This window comes from Homo sapiens, chromosome 19, assembly GCF_000001405.40.
Source record: "Homo sapiens chromosome 19, GRCh38.p14 Primary Assembly".
Classification (NCBI taxonomy): Eukaryota; Metazoa; Chordata; class Mammalia; order Primates; family Hominidae; genus Homo; species Homo sapiens.
Window position 1 is genome coordinate 14980084 of NC_000019.10, and position 22946 is coordinate 15003029.

Here is a 22946-nt window from a genome sequence, read left to right on the forward strand (position 1 = left end):
AGCCAGGGAGAGGGCTCCGCTGCCCCCTTCTCCTTGCGGGTGCACCTTCCGGCCTTGGCCACTTGGCTGCTGTGTGCCCTTGGGCCAACTCCTCTCCCTCTCTGAGCCTGGCTTCCTCCGCTAAACAAGGAAGATGGCTTGGCCGACCCCACAGAAAATTAAAGCTGAGAAAATTAAAGCGCGTGAGGCTGGAAATGCTCCGTGCCAGCGCGAAGCACTGGGCAAATGGGAGATGGATAATGTCGTTCCTATTGTAATTAATATTATTCTTTGCTGTCTTTAGAGCACACCAGGCAAGGTGCACTCGACTTTTCTTCTCGAAAGGCAATGACTTGGTTGCTTCCCACATCTTCTGCCTCTCCTGAGAGCTAATGCCATTTAAAGATCTGAGCATCAGGTCTGTCGTATGAATAAAAACTCAGTGCAGGCTGGGCACGGTGGCTCACGCCTGTAATCCCAGCACTTTGGGAGGCCGAGGCGGGAGGATCACTTGAACACAGGAGGCGGAGGTTGCAGTGAGCCGAGATCGCACCACTGCTCTCCAGCCTGGGTGACAGAGCGAGACTCCGTCAAAAAAAAAAAAAAAAAGTCAGTGCACGTTCAATGTTTTTTATTATTGTTGTTGTTGTTGATGAAGTGTTGATGGCGACCTCCTGAACTAGGCAGGCTCTTTTATTAATACTTATATTTAATCTACACACTCCTATAAAGTATATATCACTTCCTCTATTTTCAGGGCGGGGACAGGTGCTCAGAAAGGTTCAATAACTTGTCCAAGGTCACACAGCCAGGAAACAGATGCCCCAATTCTAATTCTTTGCATGCATCGCCCTGGCTCTGCTTCTTTGCAACAACTCCTAGATAGGTGATTCTCAAACTTAGCTGTATTTTAAAACTACCTGGAGAGGTTTTAAAAATTCTGAAGCCAGCCTGACATAGTGGCCCATGCATGTAATCCCAGCACATTGGGACGCCAAGGAGAGAGGATCACTTGAGCCCAGGAGTTCAAGATCAGCCTGGGCAACATAGCAAGACTCTGTCTCTATTTAAAAAAAAAAAATCAAAAAATTAGCTGGGCACACACCTGTAGTCCCAGTTACTCAGGAGGCTGAGGCAGGAGGGTCACTTGAGCTTAGGAATTTGAGGTTACAGTGAGCTATGATTGTGCCACTGCACTTCAGCCTGGACAACAGAGCAAGACCTTGTCTAAAAAAAAAAAAAGGAAAGAAAAGAAAAGATATCTGATGCCCAAGCCACACCCTATACCAAGCACATCAGCATACCTGGAAGTGGGACCCAGGCATCAGTATATTTGAATGCTCCCCAATGTATGGCTAAGGCTGAATCTCTGTCCTAGATGTCAGATTCCCCTGGACCACATTGGCAACCCCTCTCTGCAGCCTTCTCACTCCGCTGCTTCAGTCACTCACTGTGCTTAGACGATTCTGCATCCTTCTTGAACCTAGAGCTGCCCCTGAACTCCTGCCTCTTACGGTCATTCACTCCACAAATACTTACTGTGCACTTGGATGTGCTAGAGGCTGGAGACTCAGCAGCGAAGACAACAGAGCCCTCGGTCTGTCACGCAAAATAATAAGTAAATAAAATAGCAGTTGTTCCCTGGCAATTGGCCTTGCAAGCCCTTTACACCCGTAACAATCAGGGAGGATCCCAAAGAAACCATAACTCAAGCCTAAGCATGAGAAAAACATCAGACTAATTTCAATAGAGAGGCATCCGATAATCTACCTGCGCAGTCCTCTTCAAAACAGTCATTAAAAATTAAGGAACATGTGGAGCAGGGTTTGGTGGCAGGTGCCTGTAGTCCCAGATACTCAGGAGGCTGATGCAGGAGGACCGCTTGAGTCCAAGAGGTTGAATCTGGGACCGCTTGAGTCCAAGAGGTTGAGTTTGCAGTGAACTATGATTGTGCCACAGCACTCCAGCCTGGGCAACAGAGCGAGACCCTGTCTCTAAAAAAAAAAATAAAATTTAAAAATGAGAAAACAAGGAATGTCTGAGAAACTGTCACAGCCGAGAGGAGTCTAAGAAGATATGACAACAAAACGTAATGTGAGATCCTAGAAAAGAAAAAGGATATAAGGAAAAAATTAGGAAATCTGAATAGAGTATGGGCTTTCGCTAATAATAATGTATCCATATTGGCCGGGCATGGTGGCACACACCTGTAATCCCAGCCCTTTGGAAGGCCGAGGTGGGCAAATCACTAGAGGTCAGGAGTTCGAGACCAGCCTGGCCAACCTGGTGAAACCCCGTATCTACTAAAAATATAAAATTAGCCAGGCATGGTGGCGGGTGCCTGTAATCCCAGCTACTCGGGAGGCTGAGGCAAGAGAATTACTTGAACCCCGGAGGCAGAGTTTGCAGTGAGCCAAGGTCGTGCCACTGCACTCCAGCCTGGGCAACAGGGTAAGACTCTGTTTCAAAAAAAGTTATCTGTAACAATAACATTTTGTTAATAATGTATCAATATAATAATATATCAATATTACAATATGGTAATTATACAAATGTGCCATACTAATGAAATATATTAATAACAAGTGAAACTAAGTCAAGGGAGCATATGGGAGCTGTCTGTACTATCTTTTCATTTTTTATGTAAATCTAAAACTGTTCTCAGAAACTGTGTCTTAATTTAAAAAGATCCTGGGAGATCCCAAAGAGCTTTTCTTTATATAGGTTATAGCTATTGATCTTTACAGTATCAGAAATTAAAACTGAAAAAGTGTTTCAACATTTATTCATTTTAACATAACAAAAATAAACCTACTACATGTTAACATAAAATAGCATATTTTTACGAAAAATAACTGTATTTTCCAAAACAAGAACAAAAAAAGAAGAGTGACATTGTTTTACACTTTTTCAAATTGCTTTAATGGCTACCTTCATCAAAAGGAAACGGAATTTTTATACAGTTGATTTTCATTATTCACGGATTCTGTATTTGCAAAGTCACTCACTCACTAACATGTATTTGTGACCCCAAAATTAATACTTGCGGAGATTCTGACATTTTTCTGGGTCATTTGCAGAGAGATTAACATTTTGAGCTGCACGGCGTGAACATTTGTAGCTGAGGTGCAAAAGAACCATGCTCTGTTATCTTGTTTCAGCTCATACAGTGAACAAGCATCCTATTTGTGGCCTGTTTAGTGCCATACTTTTCTAACTTTCATGTTTTTTGTTGATTTCGCTGTTTAAAATGGTCCTGAGCACTTTGCTGAAGTGCTGTCTAGCGTTTCTAAGCTGAAGTGCTCAGTGTGTTTCTAAGCTCTAGAAGGTTGTGGGGTAGCTGGGTGTGGTGGCTCACACTTGCAATCCCAGCCGCGCTTTGGGAAGCCAAGACAGGAGGATTACTTGAGCCCAGGAGTTTGAGACCAGCCTGAGCAACATATTGAGACTCCCCCATCTCCACAAAAAATTTTAAAATGAGCCAGGTATGGGGGGCGTGCCTGTGGTCCCAGCTACTCAGGAGGCTGAGGCGGGAGGATCGCTTGAGCCTGGAAGGTTGATGCTGCAGTGACCTATGATCGTACCACTGCACTCCTGCCTGGGCGACAGAGCAAGATTTTAGCTCTAAAAAACAACAACAACAAGAACAACAACACCAAAAAAAAAAAAAAAAAAAAAAAGGCTGTAAGGCTGTAAGGCTGTGACGTGCCTTACAGAGACAATATGTATGTTAGGTAAGCTATGCTCAGACATAACTTCTAGTACTGTTGGCCATGAGCTCAATGTTAATGAATCAGCAACATATATTAAATATGGAGTCTTTAAACAAAAACACAAATAAAACAAAGTATATATCAGTTGACAAAAATGTTGTGACCAGGTGCTTACAGAAACTAAATCTTGTACTTCCCCCTGGAAGCAGTGATTTAGTATTTGCTACTTCAGTGTTCAAAGCAACTTTATAGGGCTGGGTGCGGTGGCTCATGCCTGTAATCTCAGCAGTTTGGGAGGCTGAGGCGGGCGGATCATCTGAGGTCAGGAGTTTGAGACCAGCCTGACAAATATGGAGAAACCCCGTCTCTACTAAAAATACAAAATTAGCCAGGTATGGTGGCGCTTGCCTGTAGTCACAGCTACTTGGGAGGCTGAGGCAGGAGAATCACTTGAACCCAGGAGGCGGAAGTTGCAGTGAGCTGACATCGCACCATTGTGGTGAGCCGAGATCGTGCCATTGCCCTCCAGCCTGGGCAACAAGAGCAAAGCTCCATCTCTAAAATAAAAAACAAAAAAAAAAGCAACTTCATAGAATATAACTACCATGAATCATGAAAATCAACTGTATCTGCTTCTGCATTGAATCTGTAATGGTATATTGTTTTGGTTGAAATACATGAAAAAAATTCAGTCTTACACAGACAGGCAGTTGAAAAGGGAAGATTATTTTAATCAGCTTTTCAGGTAACTGTGTCTATTCTTTGAGACGACACCAAAATGCTACATATTTTAGTTTCTTCAAGAACAGTTGCAATGCAGAATTGGAAACCCTGTCCGTGAATTCTTGCATTCTGTTAATATTAAAATCCATTAAGCTCGTCTTTTAACCATGCATGATTTTGAAACCTCATGCATTCGTCATTTGAAAAATGTTAGCTCACTAGTTACAGATCTGCTACATATTAACACATTTCATTATGCAATAGCAAAAAGTCATGTTTGTTAATATCATCACTGATCTCATGGAAAGTTTTAAAGTGTTGGGAAGTTCTCAGAGTCGTGAATACAAATTTTTAAAAATTATAATTTTCACTCAAAAGTGCAATTTTTTTGTTTGTTTGTTTAGATAGAGTCTCGCTCTGCTGCCCAGGCTGGAGTGCAGTGGTGTGATCTCGGCTCACTGCAACCTCCACCTCCTGGGTTCAAACAATTCTCCTGCCTCAGCCTCCTGAGTAGCTGGGATTACAGGTGCGTGCCACCATGCCTGGCTAATTTTTGTATTTTTAGTAGAGACGGGGTTTCACCGTGTTGGCCAGGCTGGTCTTGAACTCCTGACCTTAGGTGATCCGCCCGCATCGGCCTCCCGAAGTGCTGGGATTACAGGCGTAAAAAGTGCAAATTTTATCATTGACAATAATGACTGTGAATCATTTTCCTTGAAGTGACAGATATATTTCTTTCATTTTTGCAAAAATGTCTGTCAAACCTCCTTTGATGTGGTTTGGATGTTCTGTCCCCTCCAAATCTCATGTTGAAATGTGACCTCCAGTGTTGGAGGCAGGCCTAGTAGGAGGTGTTTTGGTCACGGGGGTGGATTTTTTGTGAATGGCTTGCTGCCATTCTCCTGGTAATGAGTGAGTTCTCACTCTATGAGTTCATGGGAAAGCTCGCTGTTTAAAAGAGCCTGACACCTCCTCCCTCTCTCTTTCTTGCTGTCTCTCACCATTTGACATTTCTGCTCCCCTTCACCTTCCACCATGACTGGAAGCTGCCTGAGGCCCTCACCAGAAACAGATGCCAGTGCCATGCTTCCTGTACAGCCTGCAGAACTGTGAGCCAAAATAAAGCACTTTTCTTTATAAATTACCCAGTCTCAGATATTCCTTTATAGCAATGCAAACAGTCTGGCCGGGCACTTGGCTCACGCCTATAATCCCAGCCTTTGGGAGGCCAAGGAGGGAGGATCGTTTGAGGCCAGGAGTTTGAGGCCAGCCTGTCCAATATGGCAAAAATCCATCTCTACTTACAATACAAAAATTAGCTGGGCATGGTGGTGCATACCACTCAGCTACTCAGGAGGCTGAGGCAGAAGAATTGTTTGAACCCAGGAGGTGGAGGTTGCAGTGAGCCGAGATCACACCACTGCACTCCAGCCTGGGCAGCAGAGCGAGACTCTGTCTCAAAAAAGAAAAAAAACAACAACAGACACACACACAGACTAATACACCATGTCAGAATAGCTGAGGTTTGTCTGTCTAAAAATGGAATTCCATGAAAAAAAGTAGCTGGTTCAGCTTGCAATTCAAACACTCACACAAGCAGTAATTTTTTTTTTTTTTGTCTTGGAGACAGCTACCATGATACTTCTGTGTGTAGAAAAATTTTTTATCCATACTTCCCGTTGCATCACACAGAATATTAAAAAGACATATACTCAAGAGTCAAGATTTAATAAAATGGGCCAGACACAGTGGCTCATGCCTGTAATCCCAGCACTTTGGGAGGCCAAAGTGAGTGGATCACCTAAGGTCAGAAGTTCAAGACCAGCCTGGCCAACATGGTGAAACCCCGTCTCTACTAAAAATACAAAAAAAAATTAGCCCAGCATGGTGGGGGGTGCCTGTAATCTCAGCTACTATGGAGGCTGAGGGAGGAGAATTGCTTGAACCTGGGAGGTAGAGGTTTGCAGTGAGCCGAGATTGCACCATTGCACTCCAGCCTGGGCGGCAAGAGTGAACTCCGTCTCAAAAAAAAAAAAAGGATTTAATAAAATGAATAATTGTATTGCTTTATCAAGTACAAGCCTAAATGAAACTGGCTTTTTTTTTTTTTAAGACAGGGTCTCCCTCTGTCACCCAGGCTGGAGTGCAGTGGTGCAATCATAGCTCACTGTAGCCTTGACATCCTGGGCTCAAGTGATGCTTCCACCTCAGCCTCTTGAGTAGCTGGGAATACAGGTGTGCGCCACCAGGTCTGGCTAATTTTTCCTCTACTTTTTTGTAGAGACTGGGTCTCAAACTCCTGGACTCAAGTGATCCTCCTGCCTCGGCCTCCCAAGGTGCTGGAATTACAGGCATGAGTCACTGTACCTGGCCTGAAACTGGCTTTTGTTAAAACCATGAGTGTGTGGCAATGAAGAATATAATGACCCCTAGTACAGTTTGGTGCTGCTGCGTTGATTCACGCTTACATGATAGACACTGTTACTCGCCCTTACTTTTGCTCCATGAGTGCATAGACTAACACAGTGAAAAAAGGCAAATAATATCTTAGAATGATTATTAAAATCATTTTGACCTTGCAGACCCCCTGAATGGTCTCAAGGCTGCCACACCTGGGGATTTGCAGGCTACACTTTGCAAACCATTGTCAGATGGTGATAAGTCCTATGGGGAAAAAACAATAATGAGGGCTGGATGCGGTGGCTCACACCTGTAATCCCAGCACTTTGGGAAGCCGAGGTGAGCGGATCATGAGGTCAGGAGATCGAGACCAGCCTGACCAACATGGCGAAATACCGTCTCTACTGAAAATACAAAAATTAGCCAGGCATGGTGGTGCACACCTGTAATCCCAGCTACTCGGGAGGCTGAGGCAGAAGAATTGCTTGAACCCCAGGAGGCAGAGGTTGCAGTGAGCTGAGATCGCACCACTGCACTCCAGCCTGAGCGACAGAGCAAGACTCTGTCTCGGAAAAAAAAAATTTTTTTTAATTAAAAATAATAATTATAATCAGGAAAAGAATATATGGAGGGTGAGGAGAGAGTCACAGTCTTCATTAAGCAGTTAGTGAATGTCCGAGTGCGCAGGTGATATTTGAGCAAAGACGCAAAGCAGATAAGGAAGTGAGCAGGGAGGATGACTACAGGAAGAGCAATCCAGGTAGCGGGAACAGCAAATGCAGAGACTCTGAGCAGAATATGCCTGTGCTGTTTGAAGCCCAGCAAGTACATCATGAGTCTCCCCCAGTATGTTCCACAGCAGCTCAGACTCAAACCATGCCCAGCTAGAAAGCATTTGCAAAGCAACTCAGGGAGCCTAGTCCAGCAGAGCCTGCCTTTTCGGTTTTGGCTTTTTTATTTGTTTTGGTTTGGTTTTTTGAGACAGGATCTGACTCTGTTGCCCAGGCTGAAGTGCAGTAGGGCAATCATAGTTTACTGCAGCTTTGAATTCCTGGGCTCAAGCAATCCTACTGCCTCAGCCTCCCAAGTAGCTGAGACCACAGATGTATACTAACAATACAAAAATCAGCCGGGCGTGGTGGTGCACACCTGTAATCCCAACTACTCAGGAGGCTGAGGCAGGAGAATTTCTTGAACCCAGGAGGTGGAGAGCCTTCTGGCATATTCCCCAAGTCTGCTGTTAGCTTCCCTATCTTAGTGCACCTGAAGGGAAAGGAATGTGTTTATTAAGGCCCACTGTTTTACTGGGGCCCGTTGTATGAGGGTGAAGTTTGGCAGTTAACCAAGAGACTTTCTCCCCACCTCCCTCTGTGCCCCAGCTGTCTTATTTGTGTTTTATGGTCTGCTCTTTCTGTCTTCTTGTAGTTAGAAGAGAAGTGATCTCCCTAAAATGCATGAGGCTAGAAAAGGAGCTGGAACTTAAAGTAGCTGTGTTTGTCCAAGATGATGGTGCTTCTGCTCTGTGAAACCTTATGTTCAGAAAACAAATAACCCAATTAGAAAATGGGCAAAGGACTTGAACAGACATTTCTTAAAAGAAGACATACAAAATGGCCAACAGGTTCATGAAAGAAAAAATGCTGAATATAATTAATCATCAGGGAAATGCAAATTAAAACCACAATGAGATATCACCTAATACCTGTCAGAATATACACCATAGAATACTACTCAGCCATTAAAAAAGAATGAAATCATGTCTGTTGCAACAACTTGGATGGAGCTGGAGGCCATTATCTTAAGCGAAATAACTCAGAAACAGAAAGTCAAATACTAGCTGGTGTGGTGGCTCACGCCTGTAATCCCAACACTGTGGGAGGCTGAGGAGGGAGGATCCCTTGAGCTCAGGAGTAGGAGACGACCAGCCTGGGCAGCATAGCAAGATCCCATCTCTACAAAAAATAATAATAATTACCTGGGTGTGGTGGTGCACACCTGTAGTCCTAGCTACTCAGGAGGCAGAGGTGGGAGGATCACTTGAACTGAGGAGCTCAAGGCTGCAGTGAGCCATGATCGTGCCACTGCACTCCAGCCTGAGCAACAGAGCAAGATCCTGTCTTTAAAAAAAGAAGGAAGAAAGTCAAATACCAAATGTTCTCACAAATGGGAGCTAAACGATGGGTACCCATGGTTTTACAGACACCGGCAACTCCAAAAGGTGGGAGGGTCGGGGGCTGAGGGATGAGACACTACCTGTTAGGTACAATACACATTATTTGGGTGATGGCTACACTAAAAGCCTAGACTTTAAGAGTATTCAATATATCCATGTATCAAAACTGCACTGAACCCCCAAAATCTATTTTAAAAAAAATTTTTTAAGGAGGAGTTTCACTCTGGTTGCCCAGGCTGGAGTGCAATGGCGTGATCTCGGCTCACTGCAACCTCCACCTCCTGGGTTCAAGCAATTCTCCTGCCTCGGCCTCCCGAGTAGCTTGAATTACAGGCATGCACCACCACGCCTGGCTAATTTTGTATTTTTAGTAGAGACGGGGTTTCTCCATGTTGGTCAGGCTGGTCTTGAACTCCCGACCTCAGGTGATCCGCCCACCTCGGCCTCCCAAAGTGTGGAATTACAGGCGTGAGCCACCGTGCCCGGCCAAAAATTTTTTTTAAAGAAAAAAGATAAGTGGTCAGGGGAATTCGGAGAAAAGACAACCCATGTGCTCTGTTGGTGGGAATGTAAATTAGTACAGCCATTATAAAAAACAAAACAAAACAAAAACAGTATGGAGGCTGGGCACAGTGGCTCATGCCTGTAATTTCAAAACTTTGGGAGGCTGAGTGGGGTGGCGGGGGGTGGGGTGTGGATCACCTGAGGTTAGGAGTTCGAGACCAGCCTGGCCAACATGGTGAAAACCCATCTGTACTAAACATACAAAAATCAGCGTGGCGTGGTGGTGCGCACCTGTAATCCCAGCTACTGGGGAGGCTGAAGCAGGAGATTCACTTGAACCCAGGAGGTGGAGGTTGCAGTGAGCCAAGTTCATGCCACTGCACTCCAGCCTGGGCAACAGAGCAAGACTCTGTCTCGAAAAAATAGAAGAACAGTGTGGAGGTTTCTCAAAAAGTTAAAATAGAATTACCATATGATCCTGCAGTCCCACTACTGGATATGTATATCTAAAGGAAATGAAATCAGTGTCTCAAAGAGATATCTGCACCCCCATGCTCATTGCAATGTTATTCACAACAGTCAAGATATGGAAGCAACCTAAGTGTCCACCGAGAAATGGATTTTTAAATGTACTATGCTATGCAGTTGTAAGAAAAGAAAATCCTGTCATTTATGACAACATGAACAAATGACAGGATTTCCTTTTGATGAACCTGGAGAACATTATGTTGGGTGAAATAAGCCAGGCACTGAAAGACAAATACCATGATCTCACTTACATGTGGAATCTAAAAACAATTGAACTCATAACAGCAGAGAATAAAATGATGATTACCAGAGACTCAAGTTGGAGGATTGGGGAGATGTTGGTCAAAGGATACCGAATTTCAGTTGGTAAAGAGGAATAATTTTGGCTGGGTGCAGTGGCTCATGCCTGTAGTCCCAGCACTTTGGGAAGCCGAGGCAGGCGGATCACCTGAGGTCAGGAGTTCGAGACCAGCCTGACCAACGTGGTGAAACCCTGTCTCTAGTAAAAATACAAAATTAGCCAGGAGTGGTGGCGCACACCTATAATCGCAGCTACTTAGGAAGCTGAGGCAGGAGAATCTCTTGAACTTGGGAGGCGGAGGTTGCAGTGAGCCAAGATCATACCACTGCACTCCAGCCTGGGCAACAAGAGTGAGACTCTGTCTCAAAAAACAAAACAAAACAAAAAAAAAAAAAAACGAATAATTTCAAGAGATCTGTTGTACAACATGGTGACTCTAGTTAATAACAATACAGTGTATTCTAGACAAATGCTAAGAGAGTAGATTGTAAATGTTCTTACCATAAAAGTGAACTTTGGAAGGCAATGCACATATTGATGAGCTAGATTTAGCCATTCCACAATGTGTGTGTGTATATTTCAAAACATCATGCTGTACACAACAAATACACACAATTTTATCTGTCATTTAAATAAAATTTTAAAATAAAAATATTTTTAAAACACACCTTAAAAAACATAATGCTGAGTGAGAGAAGCCGGATACAAAAGGCCACATAAGTGTATATAATTCTATTTATATGAAATGTCCAGAATAGGCAAATCCTATCCTAGATTTGGAAAGCAGATTCGTGGTTGCCAGGGGCTGCAGGCGGGAGAAATGATGAGTGATGCTAAAGGGTATAGACTTCCTTTTGGGGCGATTGAAATGTTCTGGACCTAGATAGAGGTGATAGTTACAGGACACTGGGAATTGTACTCTTTAAAAGGGTTAATTTGACTAGGTGCGGTGGCTCATACCTGTAATCCCAGCACTTTGGGAGGCCAAGGTGGATAGATCACTAGAGGTCAGGAGTTCAAGCCCCCTGGCCAGCATGGTGAAACCCCATCTCTACCAAAAATACAAAAATTAGCTGGGTGTGGTGATGCGCACATGTAATCCCAGCTACTCAGGAGGCTGAGGAAGAGAATTGCTTGAACCCGGGAGGAGGATGTTGCAGTGAGCCGAGATATCGCCACTGCACTCCAGCCTGGGTGACAGAGGGAGACTCTGTGTCAAAAAAAAAAAAAAAGACAATTTTACATTACACAAATTTCACTTCAATAAAACAAAAGTAAAGGAGTACCAAAAAAACCTCGGTATTAAAGAGAAACAATATTTCAATGAAATCTTTTTAGAAATCAAAATGAATGCAAAAAAATCCACAATGAACAAATAGATCAACATGTTAAATCAAGACAGGACCAAAGTTCCTACTTTTCCTTCTGCTTTTTTCTTTTTTTTTTTTTTCTAGAGGGAGTCTTGCTCTGTCACGCAGTGGCGTGATCTTGGCTCACTGCAATCTCCGCCTCCCGGGTTCTAGTGATTCTCCTGCCTCAGCCTCCCGAGTAGCTGGGATTACAGGTGCCTACCACCACGTCCAGCTAATTTTTGTATTTTTAGTAGAGACGGGGTTTCACCATGTTGGGCAGGCTGGTCTTGAACTCCTGACCTTAGGTGATCCACCCGCCTCAGCCTCCCAAAGTGCTGGGATTACAGGCGTGAGCCAACGCGCCCAGTGCCTTCTGCTTTTCAGGCTCCTGTGTGGCTCAGTTCAGCACTCTTACTGATTCTATCTTGAACATTCTGCTATTTGGGTTAACCATGGATTGTTTGCATTAATTTCATGAGTTGTTTTTAATTATTGACATTGGAGTATTATTTAGCTTAGTCGCCGGTTTTTTGGTGCTACCTGATATTTTGTATGTGGGACTGACTGGTATCTCAACCTCACTGTGGCCTTGTGAGTCTCTTGCTCTCTCAACAGTAAAGGCTGCCAGCTCCCTTTTACAGATAAGAAGGGTCTCAAAGAGGTTAAGCAGCAGGCCTCAGAATTAATAAAGAGCAGGGTCACGGCCGGGTGTAGTGGCTCACGCCTGTAATCCCAGCACTTTGGGAGGCCGAGGCAGGCAGACAGGTGGTGCGCACCTGTAATCCCAGCTACTCAGGAGGCTGAGGCAGGAGAATCGCTTGAACTCAGGAGGTGGAGTTTGCAGTGAGCCAAGATCATGCCACTGCACTCCATCTTGGGCTACAGAGCAAGACTCTGTCTCAAAAAAAAAAAAAATGAGCAGGGTTAGATTGGAGCCCACATCTGTCTGGCTCAAACCTCCAGCCACCCCAGGTCCACTCTGACCAAAGGCTCCAACTCTGGCCCTAGCATTAGGAGGGCAGGGCAGTGCAGACGGAGCACCCCGGGCTGTCCCAGACGACTGCCCCAGCTGCAAGGTGGAGCTTGAACACGAGCTGAGCCAAGAAGAGTCTGAGACCGAGGAATTGAGGCTAATTCCTCTGTGGGAAACGCTCCCTATTAATTAATTAGGGCAGAGCTAGCCTGAGGCATCCCCGCAGCCCCCAGAGTCATTAAAGGAGAGGGAGTCTCATTATCGGCTAACAGCTTCCCCACCGTTCCCAGGGCCCCAGAGGGAGCAGAGGAGGTGGGAGGAGGACCAGGTCTCCCCGTCCTGATCCCCTGTCTTTCATTACCAGAGTGGCCTGATATGCAAGCGAATTGTCTAAAAGTAGAATTTCAGGGGAGGTAAAAAAGGGAAAGTCAGAACTGAGGGATTCAGGATACCCCCTCCCAAATTCAGTCTGCACTTATATTTATATAAAATACCCAGCACAGGTAAATCCATAAAGATAGACATCCAATTAGTGGTTGCCCAGGGCTGGAGTCGGGGGGCAATGGTGAGTGACTGCTGATGATGGGTAGAGGGTTTCCTTCTGGGGGGGTGAAAGCTGTAGTCAAACTTGATAATGCTGACGGTAGCACAGCACTGCAAATGTACTAAAGTCACTGAACCGTCAACTTTCAAATGGTCAATTTTATGTTATGTGTATTTTATAATTTAAAAAAATCAATCTCCTTCTCATTCCTGGCTATTTCATCAACATTTATTAACATGTGCTTTCTGCCCGGCATTGTACTGGGAGGGGAGGCCTGGTGCCACCCTGGCAACTCTGTCTTAGTGAGAGATGTCATGGTCAACAACTGTTTGAGGCCTGCATGCAAGGGGTAAAGGAATTTACCAAGACAAGAGTGAGTTTTAAAAGGCAGATGTATTAAAGAAAGGAGGACATGCATTGCAAGGATGCAATGGGTAAGACAGCAGAAGGAAGGTTGTCTGCTGTCTGAAAAGAGTCAGGGGCTGGAGGGAAAGTTTTATAAGGTGGTGCTCCTTCAGCTGAGTGCTTGCAGACAGGATGGTTGGGTGCAGGTGGGCAGTGAGCTGAGTGCTTGCAAACAAGATGCTTGTGTGCAGATGGGCTGTGAGCTGAAAGCTTGTAGATAAGATGCTTGGGTGCAGGTGGGCTGTGAGCTGAGCACTTGCAACAGAATGCTTGGGTGCAGGCGGGCTGTGAGCTGAGCACTAGAAGCTAGCGGGCCTTTTGCAGTTGACCCCATTTCTCAGAACATTTGCTTCTCTCAACCCCAGATAAGCCCATTCTTTAAGTTTTCTTTTAACTCCTTAGGGCTCCACACGAAATGATGCTGGAGACCTTCAAGATGGCCTCCAGGGATGTTCTCCATCTGTCCTCCCCTTGTTCTGTGTCCAGGTTCATGGATCAAACCAACAAGAAGCCTTGTCCTCTGTCTTCTGGTTGGCTTCAAGCAATGGGAAGCCCTTACAGGAGGCAAGAGGGATGAAAGAGGGTGAGGCCAGAGTATTTATTTCCTGGGGTGCCTCCCTGCATCCCCCCTGCAGATTGGCCCTAGACTGCAGAGCACAAGGTCCTGGCTGGCAGCCCCCTCTAGGTTCCAGTAGTAACAGCTCCCTCCCCTCTCTGCATCTGCCCAGGAGTGGTAATAACCCCCAGATGCTGACTGCTCCACGTAACTGCATGGATTCTGCAATCCTGTATGGTTTCTTTACCCCCTACCACACCTTGACCCAACTCCCCTCAAACTGCCCAGTCTACCCTCCATCTTTCTCCAGGGGTTAGAGAGAATGCAACCCTCCGACTTGCTCTGCACCCCAGAAGGTGGATTTTTGTGGCTATCAATGGGCTGCCTGCCTTGGAGAATCTGGTGGGGTTGGCTTTGTGAAAGTAAAATAAATTTGGGGACCCCAAAATCACTAAGCCAAAGGGAAAAGTCAAGCTGGGAGCTGCTTAGGGCAAACCCCCTTGCCTTTCTATTGCTTAAAAAGTTTGGGTGCGCCATCCTGAGTTTCTTTCTGTTCAGACTTCCCTCTTGATATGTATTTAGAAGAGGAAGAAGAAAAATAAGCAGGCAGGTAGTAAAGTATAATCACAATGGGATAGTATTCAGCCACAAAAAAAATAAGGAAATCCTGCCATTTGCAACCACATGGATGAACTCGGAGAACATGATATTACAGGAAATAAGCCAGATACAGAAAGACAAACACTGCATGATCTCACTCATATGTGGAATCCTAAAATGTTGAACTCATAGAAAAAGAGAGTAGAGTGGCCGAGTGTGGTGGCTCACACCTGTAATCCCAGCACTTTGGGAGGCCAAGACGGGTGGATCACCTGAGGTCAGGAGTTCGAGACCAGCCTGGCCAATATGGCGAAACTCCGTCTCTACTAATAATACAAAAATTAGCTAGGCATGGTGGCACATGCCTGTAATCCCAGCTACTTGGGAGGCTGAGGTAGGAGAATTGCTTGAACCCTGGAGGTGGAGGTTGCAGTGAGCCGAGATCATACCACAGCACTCCAGCCTGGGCAACAAGAGTGAAACTCCATCTCCAAAAAAAAAAAAAAAAAAGAAAGAAAGAAAGAAAGAAAGAAAAGGGAAGGGAAGGGAAGGGAAGGGAAGAAAAAGAAAGTAGAACAGTGGTTACCATACCATAGCCTTGGGTGGTTGAGGAGATGTTGGTCAAAGGATGCCAAATTTCAGTTAGATAGGAGAAAAAAGTTCAAGAGATCTATTGTACAGCATGGTTACCCTATTCTCAAAAAATGCGAAGCGAACAGATGCAAATGCTTCACCACAAAAATGATAACTATATGAGGGAATGCATATGTTAATTGACTAGATTTAGTCATTCCACAATATATATATACGATAAAACGTTATGCTATACATGATATACAGATACAATTTGTGTCAATTTTTAAATTTTTAATTAAAACATATATTAAAAGTCCAGATCCCCAATGTTGGCATCAATAGTTGCTTAAGTGTGAACAAAAATACAATTTGACATTAAAAAAGTAAAGTATAGTAGTAGAAGTGTCCTCAGTTGACCTCATAGAAGAAGAGAGATGGTAGATCACTGGTAGATCCAGGAGCTAGGTTACCCCGGAAAAGAACATTAGACAGCAATATCATTGATGAAGAAGAGAGAGGGAAGGAAAAGGGGGTGTCCATTTTAAAGATCTTAAAGATTTTTTTTACTATCAAGGTAATTTATGTTCATTGCAGAAAATCTGAAAAATGCAGAAAGAATAGAAGGAAACACGGTAGAAAAAATTCAACCAAATCCTATTTATAATCAACACTAAATTGTTGGTGAACTGCTTTCCAGGTGGAGATATTTGTCTTACTTCAAAATTAGAATCATGCCTACCTGCTACATGAATAAACCTTGAGGACAGTGGGCTAAGTGAAAGAAGCCAAATGCAAAAGGACAAGTATTGTATGATTCAACTTATATGAGATACATAGAATAGCCAAAGCAAAGACAAAAAGTAGAACATTGGTTACCAGGGACTGCAGAGTTGCAAGGAGAATGGGGAGTTATTGTTTGATGGGCACTGAGTTTCATCTGGGGAAGACGGATGAAGGTAATGGTTGCACAACAATGGGATTGTACTTAATGCCACTGAACTGTACACTTAGAAATATATACATTAGAATCCTGCCAATTGGTCAGTTTGTTCTCCTCCTCCTCCTTCTCCTTCCCCTTCTTTCTTTCCTCCTCCTCCTCCTCCCTCTCCTCCTCCTCTTTCTTCTTCTTCTTCTTCTTCTTCTTCTTCTTGTTCTTCTTCCTCTTCTTCTTCTTCCTCTCATTGTACCTTAAGCCGTTACTTCTATCTGACATGATTTTGATGGTTTATTTTAGTTTTTCATTTTTCCCACTGACTGACAAGCTCCAGGAGAGAAGAGAAACTTCATCTTACTGCTCCACTCTCCTGGCTCTTAGCCTGGTGCCTGACACAGAGCAGATGCTCAATAAACATTTGCCAAGTCACTCGATCAATCAATCAATCAAGCCATTAGGAAAGAAAGATTTTCTAGTGGGCCCCCAAGTCTACTCTCCATCCTTCTCCAGGAGGTAGAAAGGATGCACCCCTCCAACTTGCTCTGCACCCCAGGTGGTGGATTTTTGTGGATATCAGTGGGCTCCCTTCCTTGGAGGATCTGGTGGGGTGTGAAAGGAAAATAAATCTTGGGACCCAGAAATCACTAAGCCAAAGGGAAAAGTCAAGCTGGGAACTACTTAGGGCAAACATGCCTCCGATTCTATTCCTAAAAAAGATAGCTACTAAGATAAAAGAGCTACATATCTCCCTCACAAGGAATTTCCTTGCAGGCAAAGGACAGACAAAACTCAGTCATCCCTCTGCTCACTGAGATAAATGCATATCTGCTTGCCTCCTTTGGAAAGGCGAATCAGAAACTCAAAAGAATGCAACCATTTGTCTCTTACCTACCTATGACCTGGAAGCCTCCTCCCTACTTTGAGTTGTTCCACCTTTCTGGATGGAACCAATGTACTTCTTACAGATATTTACTGATGTCTCGTGTCTCTCTAAAATGTATAAAACCAAGCTGTGCCCAGACCACCTTGAGGGCATGTCATCAGGACCTCCTGAGGATGTATCACAGGCACTCATTTTTAACTTTGGCAAAATAAACTTCCTAAATTGACTGATAATTGTCTCAGATATTTGGGGTTCATAGCTTAAAAGAATCCCCAGAAAATGGCAGCATTGGGGCAGATTAAGGCGGGAAACCAGGATATTAGAAGATGAGCTTCAGACAGCCAAGAGAGCAAGTGGCTGCTTCTCCCTTGCTCTGCTATTTGAGATGCTTCCCCGGTGCACCTACCTGTGATAGGCAATGCCACACAGAGACAGGCCAGGAATAGGCAGGGGACCCTCAGCTAAAGGAGCAGAAGCCATTATATTAGTTTTCTAGGGCTGCCATAACAAATCACAGCAAATTGTCTGGTTGAAAGCCACAGGAATTTATTCTCACACAGTCTTGGAAGGCAGAAGTCTGAAATCAAGGTGTTGGTAGGGCTGTGCTCCTTCCAAAGCTCTGGAGGAGAATCTTCCCTTGCCTCATTCTAGTTTCTCATAGTTGCCAAGAATCCTGGGCATTTCTTGGCTTGTATATCCTCTACTCCAATCTTCATGTCTTTTTTTTTAATTGACAAGTAAAAATTGCATATATTTATGATGTACAATATGATGTTTGTGTGTGTGTGTGTGTGTATGCACTATGGAATGAATAAATCAAGCTATTAACATATGCATGTAAACTAAAAATAAAATTCTATGCCCTACCAACCATCTGAATGGACCCCTCTTGGCCAAGGGCATTCCAAAATTAACCTGAAAAACTAGTTCAGGCCATGATAGAAAGACGGAATCAGACATGCCTCATTAAGCTCTCTTCCCTTTGGAATTCAGGCATAGCTGGCCAGCATTAACATTAAAACAGAGATCTTGGCCAGGTGTGATGGCTCACCCCTGTAATCCCAGCACTTTGGGAGGCCAAGGTGGGCAGATCACTTGAGGGTGGGAGTTCAAGACCAGCCTGGCCAACATGGTGAAACCCTGTCTCTTCTAAAAATACAAAAATTAGCCAGTCATTGTAGCACATGCCTGTAATCCCAGATATTCAGGTGGCTGAGGCAGGAGAATCACTTGAACCCAGCAGGGAGAGGTTGCAGCGAGCCAAGATCATGCCACTGTACTCCAGCCTGGGCAACAGAGTGAGACTCTGTCTCAAAAAACAAACAAAACAAAAAAATAAACAACAACAACAAAAAAAGCAGAGATCTTAAGACTTTTTGTAGCAATAAGACACCAAATTCCAAATTACTTTAGTATAGCATCACATGACAGATAGCAGGTCCTGAAAGAAATTGAGATATTTTACTCTAAAATGTATTTCTTTGACATATTTTGAAATGGCTCTGCAAAGCTGTCTCTTGTGAGGAAAATCTACACTTTTTGGAGCATCCCTTCTCCTTTCCAGGTCTTCTCCCTGATCCAGGAGAGAATTAACTGGGTCTAGAACCTTTTTAAGTCTGATAAGAAACATTTATTTATTTATTTATTTATTTATTTATTTATTTATTTTTAATGGAGTCTTGCTCTGTCACCCAGGCTGGAGTGCAGTGGCACTATCTCGGCTCACTGCAGCCTCCGCCTCCTGGGTTCACGCCATTCTCCTGCCTCAGCCTCCCGAGTAGCTGGGACTACAGGTGCCCGCCACCACACCTGGCTAATTTTTTTGTATTTTTAGTAGAGACGGGGTTTCATCGTGTTAGCCATGATGGTCTCAATCTCCTGACCTCGTGATTCACCTGCCTCAGCCTCCCAAAGTGCTGGGATTACAGGCGTGAGCCACCATGCCCGGCCAAGAAACATTTATAATCTACTCTCTCTGAAGCCTGCTACCTGGTGGCTTCATCTGCAAAATAAGAACCTTGGTCTCCACAACCCCTTATTTTAACCCAGACACTCTCTTCTATGGATTCCAGGTCTTTATATAAACTCTTTCAACCAATTGCCAATTGGAAAATCTTTGAATCCACCTATGACCTGGAAGCCCCCCAACTCCTACCCACCTCAAGTTGTCCCGTCTTTCTGAGTCGACCCAATGTACACTTAACATGTATTGACTGATGTCTCTTGTCTGCCTAAAATGTATAAAACCAAGCTGTAGCTTAAAGACCTTGGGCACATGTCATCAGGACCTCTCCTGTGTCACAGGCCTGTCAATAACCTTGGCAAAATAAACTTCTAAACTGATTGAGACTCATCTGAGATACTTCTTGGTTTACATGCATTATCTCACATACTTATCATTTTTTTGTGGTGAGAACACTGCAAATCTCTTTCAGCAATTTTCAAGTACACACAGTCTCCAACTTACAATGGTTCAACTTGTGATTTTTTTACTCTACCGTGGGGCAAAGTAGAAACCATCCTTTGAGTAGCCACACAATCATTCTTGTTTTCACCTTCAATACAATAGTCAATAAATTACATGAGATAGTCAACATTTTATTATAAAATAGGTTTTTTTGTTTTTTATTATTATACTTTAAGTTTTAGGGTACATGTGCACAACATGCTGGTTTGTTACATATATATACATGTGCTATGTTGGTGTGCTGCACCCAGTAACTCGTCATTTAACATTAGGTATGTCTCCTAATGCTATCTCTTCCCCCTCCCCCCCACCCCACAACAGGCCCCGGTGTGTGAGGTTCCCCTTCCTGTGTCCATGTGGGAATTGAACAATGAAAAATAGGTTTTGTGTTAGATGATTTTGCTCAACTCTAGGCTAATGTAAGTGTTCTGCGCATGTTTAAGGTAGATGAGGCTAAGCTATGGTGTTCAGTAGGTTATATGTATTAAATGCATTTTGACTTATGATATTTTCAACTTATGATGGGTTTATCAGGATGTAACCTTATCATAAGTTGAGGAAAATCTCTATGCAATATACTGTTATTAACTATAGTTGCCACGATGTATAACAGATCTGTTGAACTTATTCTTCTCTTCTAGCTAAAATTTTGTGTCTTCTGACCAACATCTCCCCAATTGCCCCCAATCCTAGCCTCTGGCAACCACCATTTTATTCTGTTTCTATCAGTTTGTCTTTTTTACCTTCCACATATAAGTGAGAAGATGCAGTATTTGTCTTTGTGCCTGGGTTATTTCATTTAGCCTAATGTCCTCCAGCTTCATCCAGGTTGTTGCAAATGACAGGATTTCCTTCTTTCTAATGGCTAAATAGTATTCTATTGTGTATATGTGCCACATTTTCTTTATCCAACCGGATGGACTCAGGTTCATTCCATATCTTGGCTACTGTGAACAGTGCTGCAATAAACATGGGGAGTGCAAATATCTCCTTGACATACTGATGCCATTTCCTTTGCTGATCATCATGTTTTCACACGGCATTGTCCCCATGCATCTCTGTTCTCTTATACACATGGCCAACTTGTCATAAGGACACCAGTAGGATCCAACCCACTCCAGTACCACCTTACCTTACTTACATCTGCAATGACCCTAATTCCAAATAACATCACATTCACATGTACCACAGGGGAGGACTCCAACATATCTTTTTCTGAGAGGCACAATTCAACCCATAACAGTAGATAAGCCCTTTCAACAGTTCTTCTTCCCACCTAATTTGGGTTATCCCACAAACAGAAAAGATGTTTGAAGGTTGAACAGCTAGAACAGGAATGTTCATAGCAGAAGCAGAAGAAAGTCCTTGGTTGGTCCACACACATGGAGTATGTTTTAGCATGACAGAGCAGCCATCATTATGTCACTCAGCGAACAAATATTAAGGGTCTACTTTGTTCCAGTTTGTTCCCAAACTGGGCTGGGAACTTAGTTATTCAGTAATAACTAAGACAAATGAGATGCCCACCAAGGAGCTGACATTCTAGAGAGGGAAGGAAAAGAATTACAATCTGACAAGAGCTACGAGGGGAGGAGGGATGGCGTATAGCCCGGTGGTGTGAGACCTCAAACCGAGTGGTCAGAGAAGAGTTCTTTAAGAGATAATATTTGAACAGAGACCCAAAGCAAGAAAGGGAGAAAGCCATATAAAAATGCAGAATAAGAACATTTCAGAGAGGGGAAAAACAAATGCAAAGACTATGAGAATAAACACGGATGGTGAGCACATCATGACTGATCCTTTATGATCTTTGGACAGAGAGGTGGGAGATGGAAGGAAAGGTGGGATGGGGCCAGATGGTAAGAAATTGGGATTCTGTAGATTCTGGTAAGGAACTTGGATGCCATTCTAAACCTGAGGTTCACTTCACTGAACCCACCTATTGGTTGTAAAGCCACAGTCTTCCTAACCTTCTTATTTTCTTGAGACAGGGTCTCACTCTGTCACTCAGGCTGGAGTGCAGTGGCACAATCAGGGCTCATTGCAGCCTCGACCTCCCTTGGCTCAGGTGATTCTCCTTCTTCAGCCTCCAGAGTAGCTGGAACCACAGGCACACACCATAATGCCCTGCTAATTTTTCCATTTTTTGTAGAGCCAGGGTTTACCATGTTGCCCAGATTGGTCTCAAACTCCTGGGCTTAAGCAATTCATCCGCCTCAGTCTCCCAAAGTGCTGGGATTACAGTAGTGAGCCACCACACCTGGCCCTAACCTAACTATTAATACCCAAATTCACTAATGAGAAAAAGATTTTCCAAGTAAAAAGTGAGGAATGAGAAGTGAATGGAGAATGAAAACCTGATGCACACGCTATTTCTCTTTTATTTTATTTTATTATTGTTTTATTTTGTTTTGAGACAGGATCTTGCTGTGTTACCCAGGCTGGAGTGCAGTGGTGCGATCATAGCTCACTGCAGCCTCCATCTCCTGGGCTCAAGCGATCCTCCCACCCCAGCCTCTTGAGTAGCTCAGATTCCAGATATGCACCACCACATCCAGCTGTTTTTTGTTTTGTTTGGTTTGGTTTGGGTTGGGTTTTTTGTTTTGTTTTGTTTTTTGTTTTTAAGAAACAGGGTCTTGCTATGTTGCCCAGGCTAGCCTCAAACTCCTGGCTTCAAGCAATCCTCCTACCTCAGCCTCCCAAAGTGCTGGAATTATAGGCATGAGCCACCATGCCTGGCTTGGATTTCTTCAGAGTGAGCAAGTGAAAGAGCAAGCAAGAGAGAGCAGAACAGAAGCCATGATCGCTTTGTAACCTAATCTCAGAAGCAGCATCTATCATGTTTGCCATAGGCTGTTGGTTACAAGTGACACATCAGGTCCAGCCCACACTCAAGGGATTACACAGGGCATGAGGATCAGGAGGTGAGGACCATTCAGGGCCATCTGAAGATGCCTAACCCAGCTGAAAAAGAAATCCATCATATTTGAGGGGTGGATGGCGGACAACCAGCTAGTAAAGAACACAGAGTAGAGGTGAAAAAGAAAACATGTGAAAGAGCACAGGGGAGGGGATTCAAGTCACAGAGGGCTGACAATTTCAAAGCTACCAGGAGGTCAAGTTGAGCAGGATAGAAAAGAAACTGGAATTTGTCCATTGCAGGAAGACGTTGATGATGGATGCCTGAGCCATTATTTTTGTTTGTTTGTTTGTTTGTTTGTTTGTTTTCGGTTTGTGTTTTTCATTTTTGTCTTTTTGTTTTTTGTGGGATGTTGTTGTTGTTGTTGTTGTTATTTTGTTTTTTGTAATAGAGTCTCTGTCTCACCCAGGCTAGA

General features: G+C 43.9%; 1 protein-coding gene across 1 annotated transcript in view; it reads right to left on the reverse strand.

Annotated features, from left to right (window-relative positions):
* Positions 1 to 22946, reverse strand: part of SLC1A6 (solute carrier family 1 member 6) — a 60611-nt gene that overhangs the window by 30051 nt on the left and 7614 nt on the right. The gene's annotated exons all lie outside the window — the stretch shown is intronic.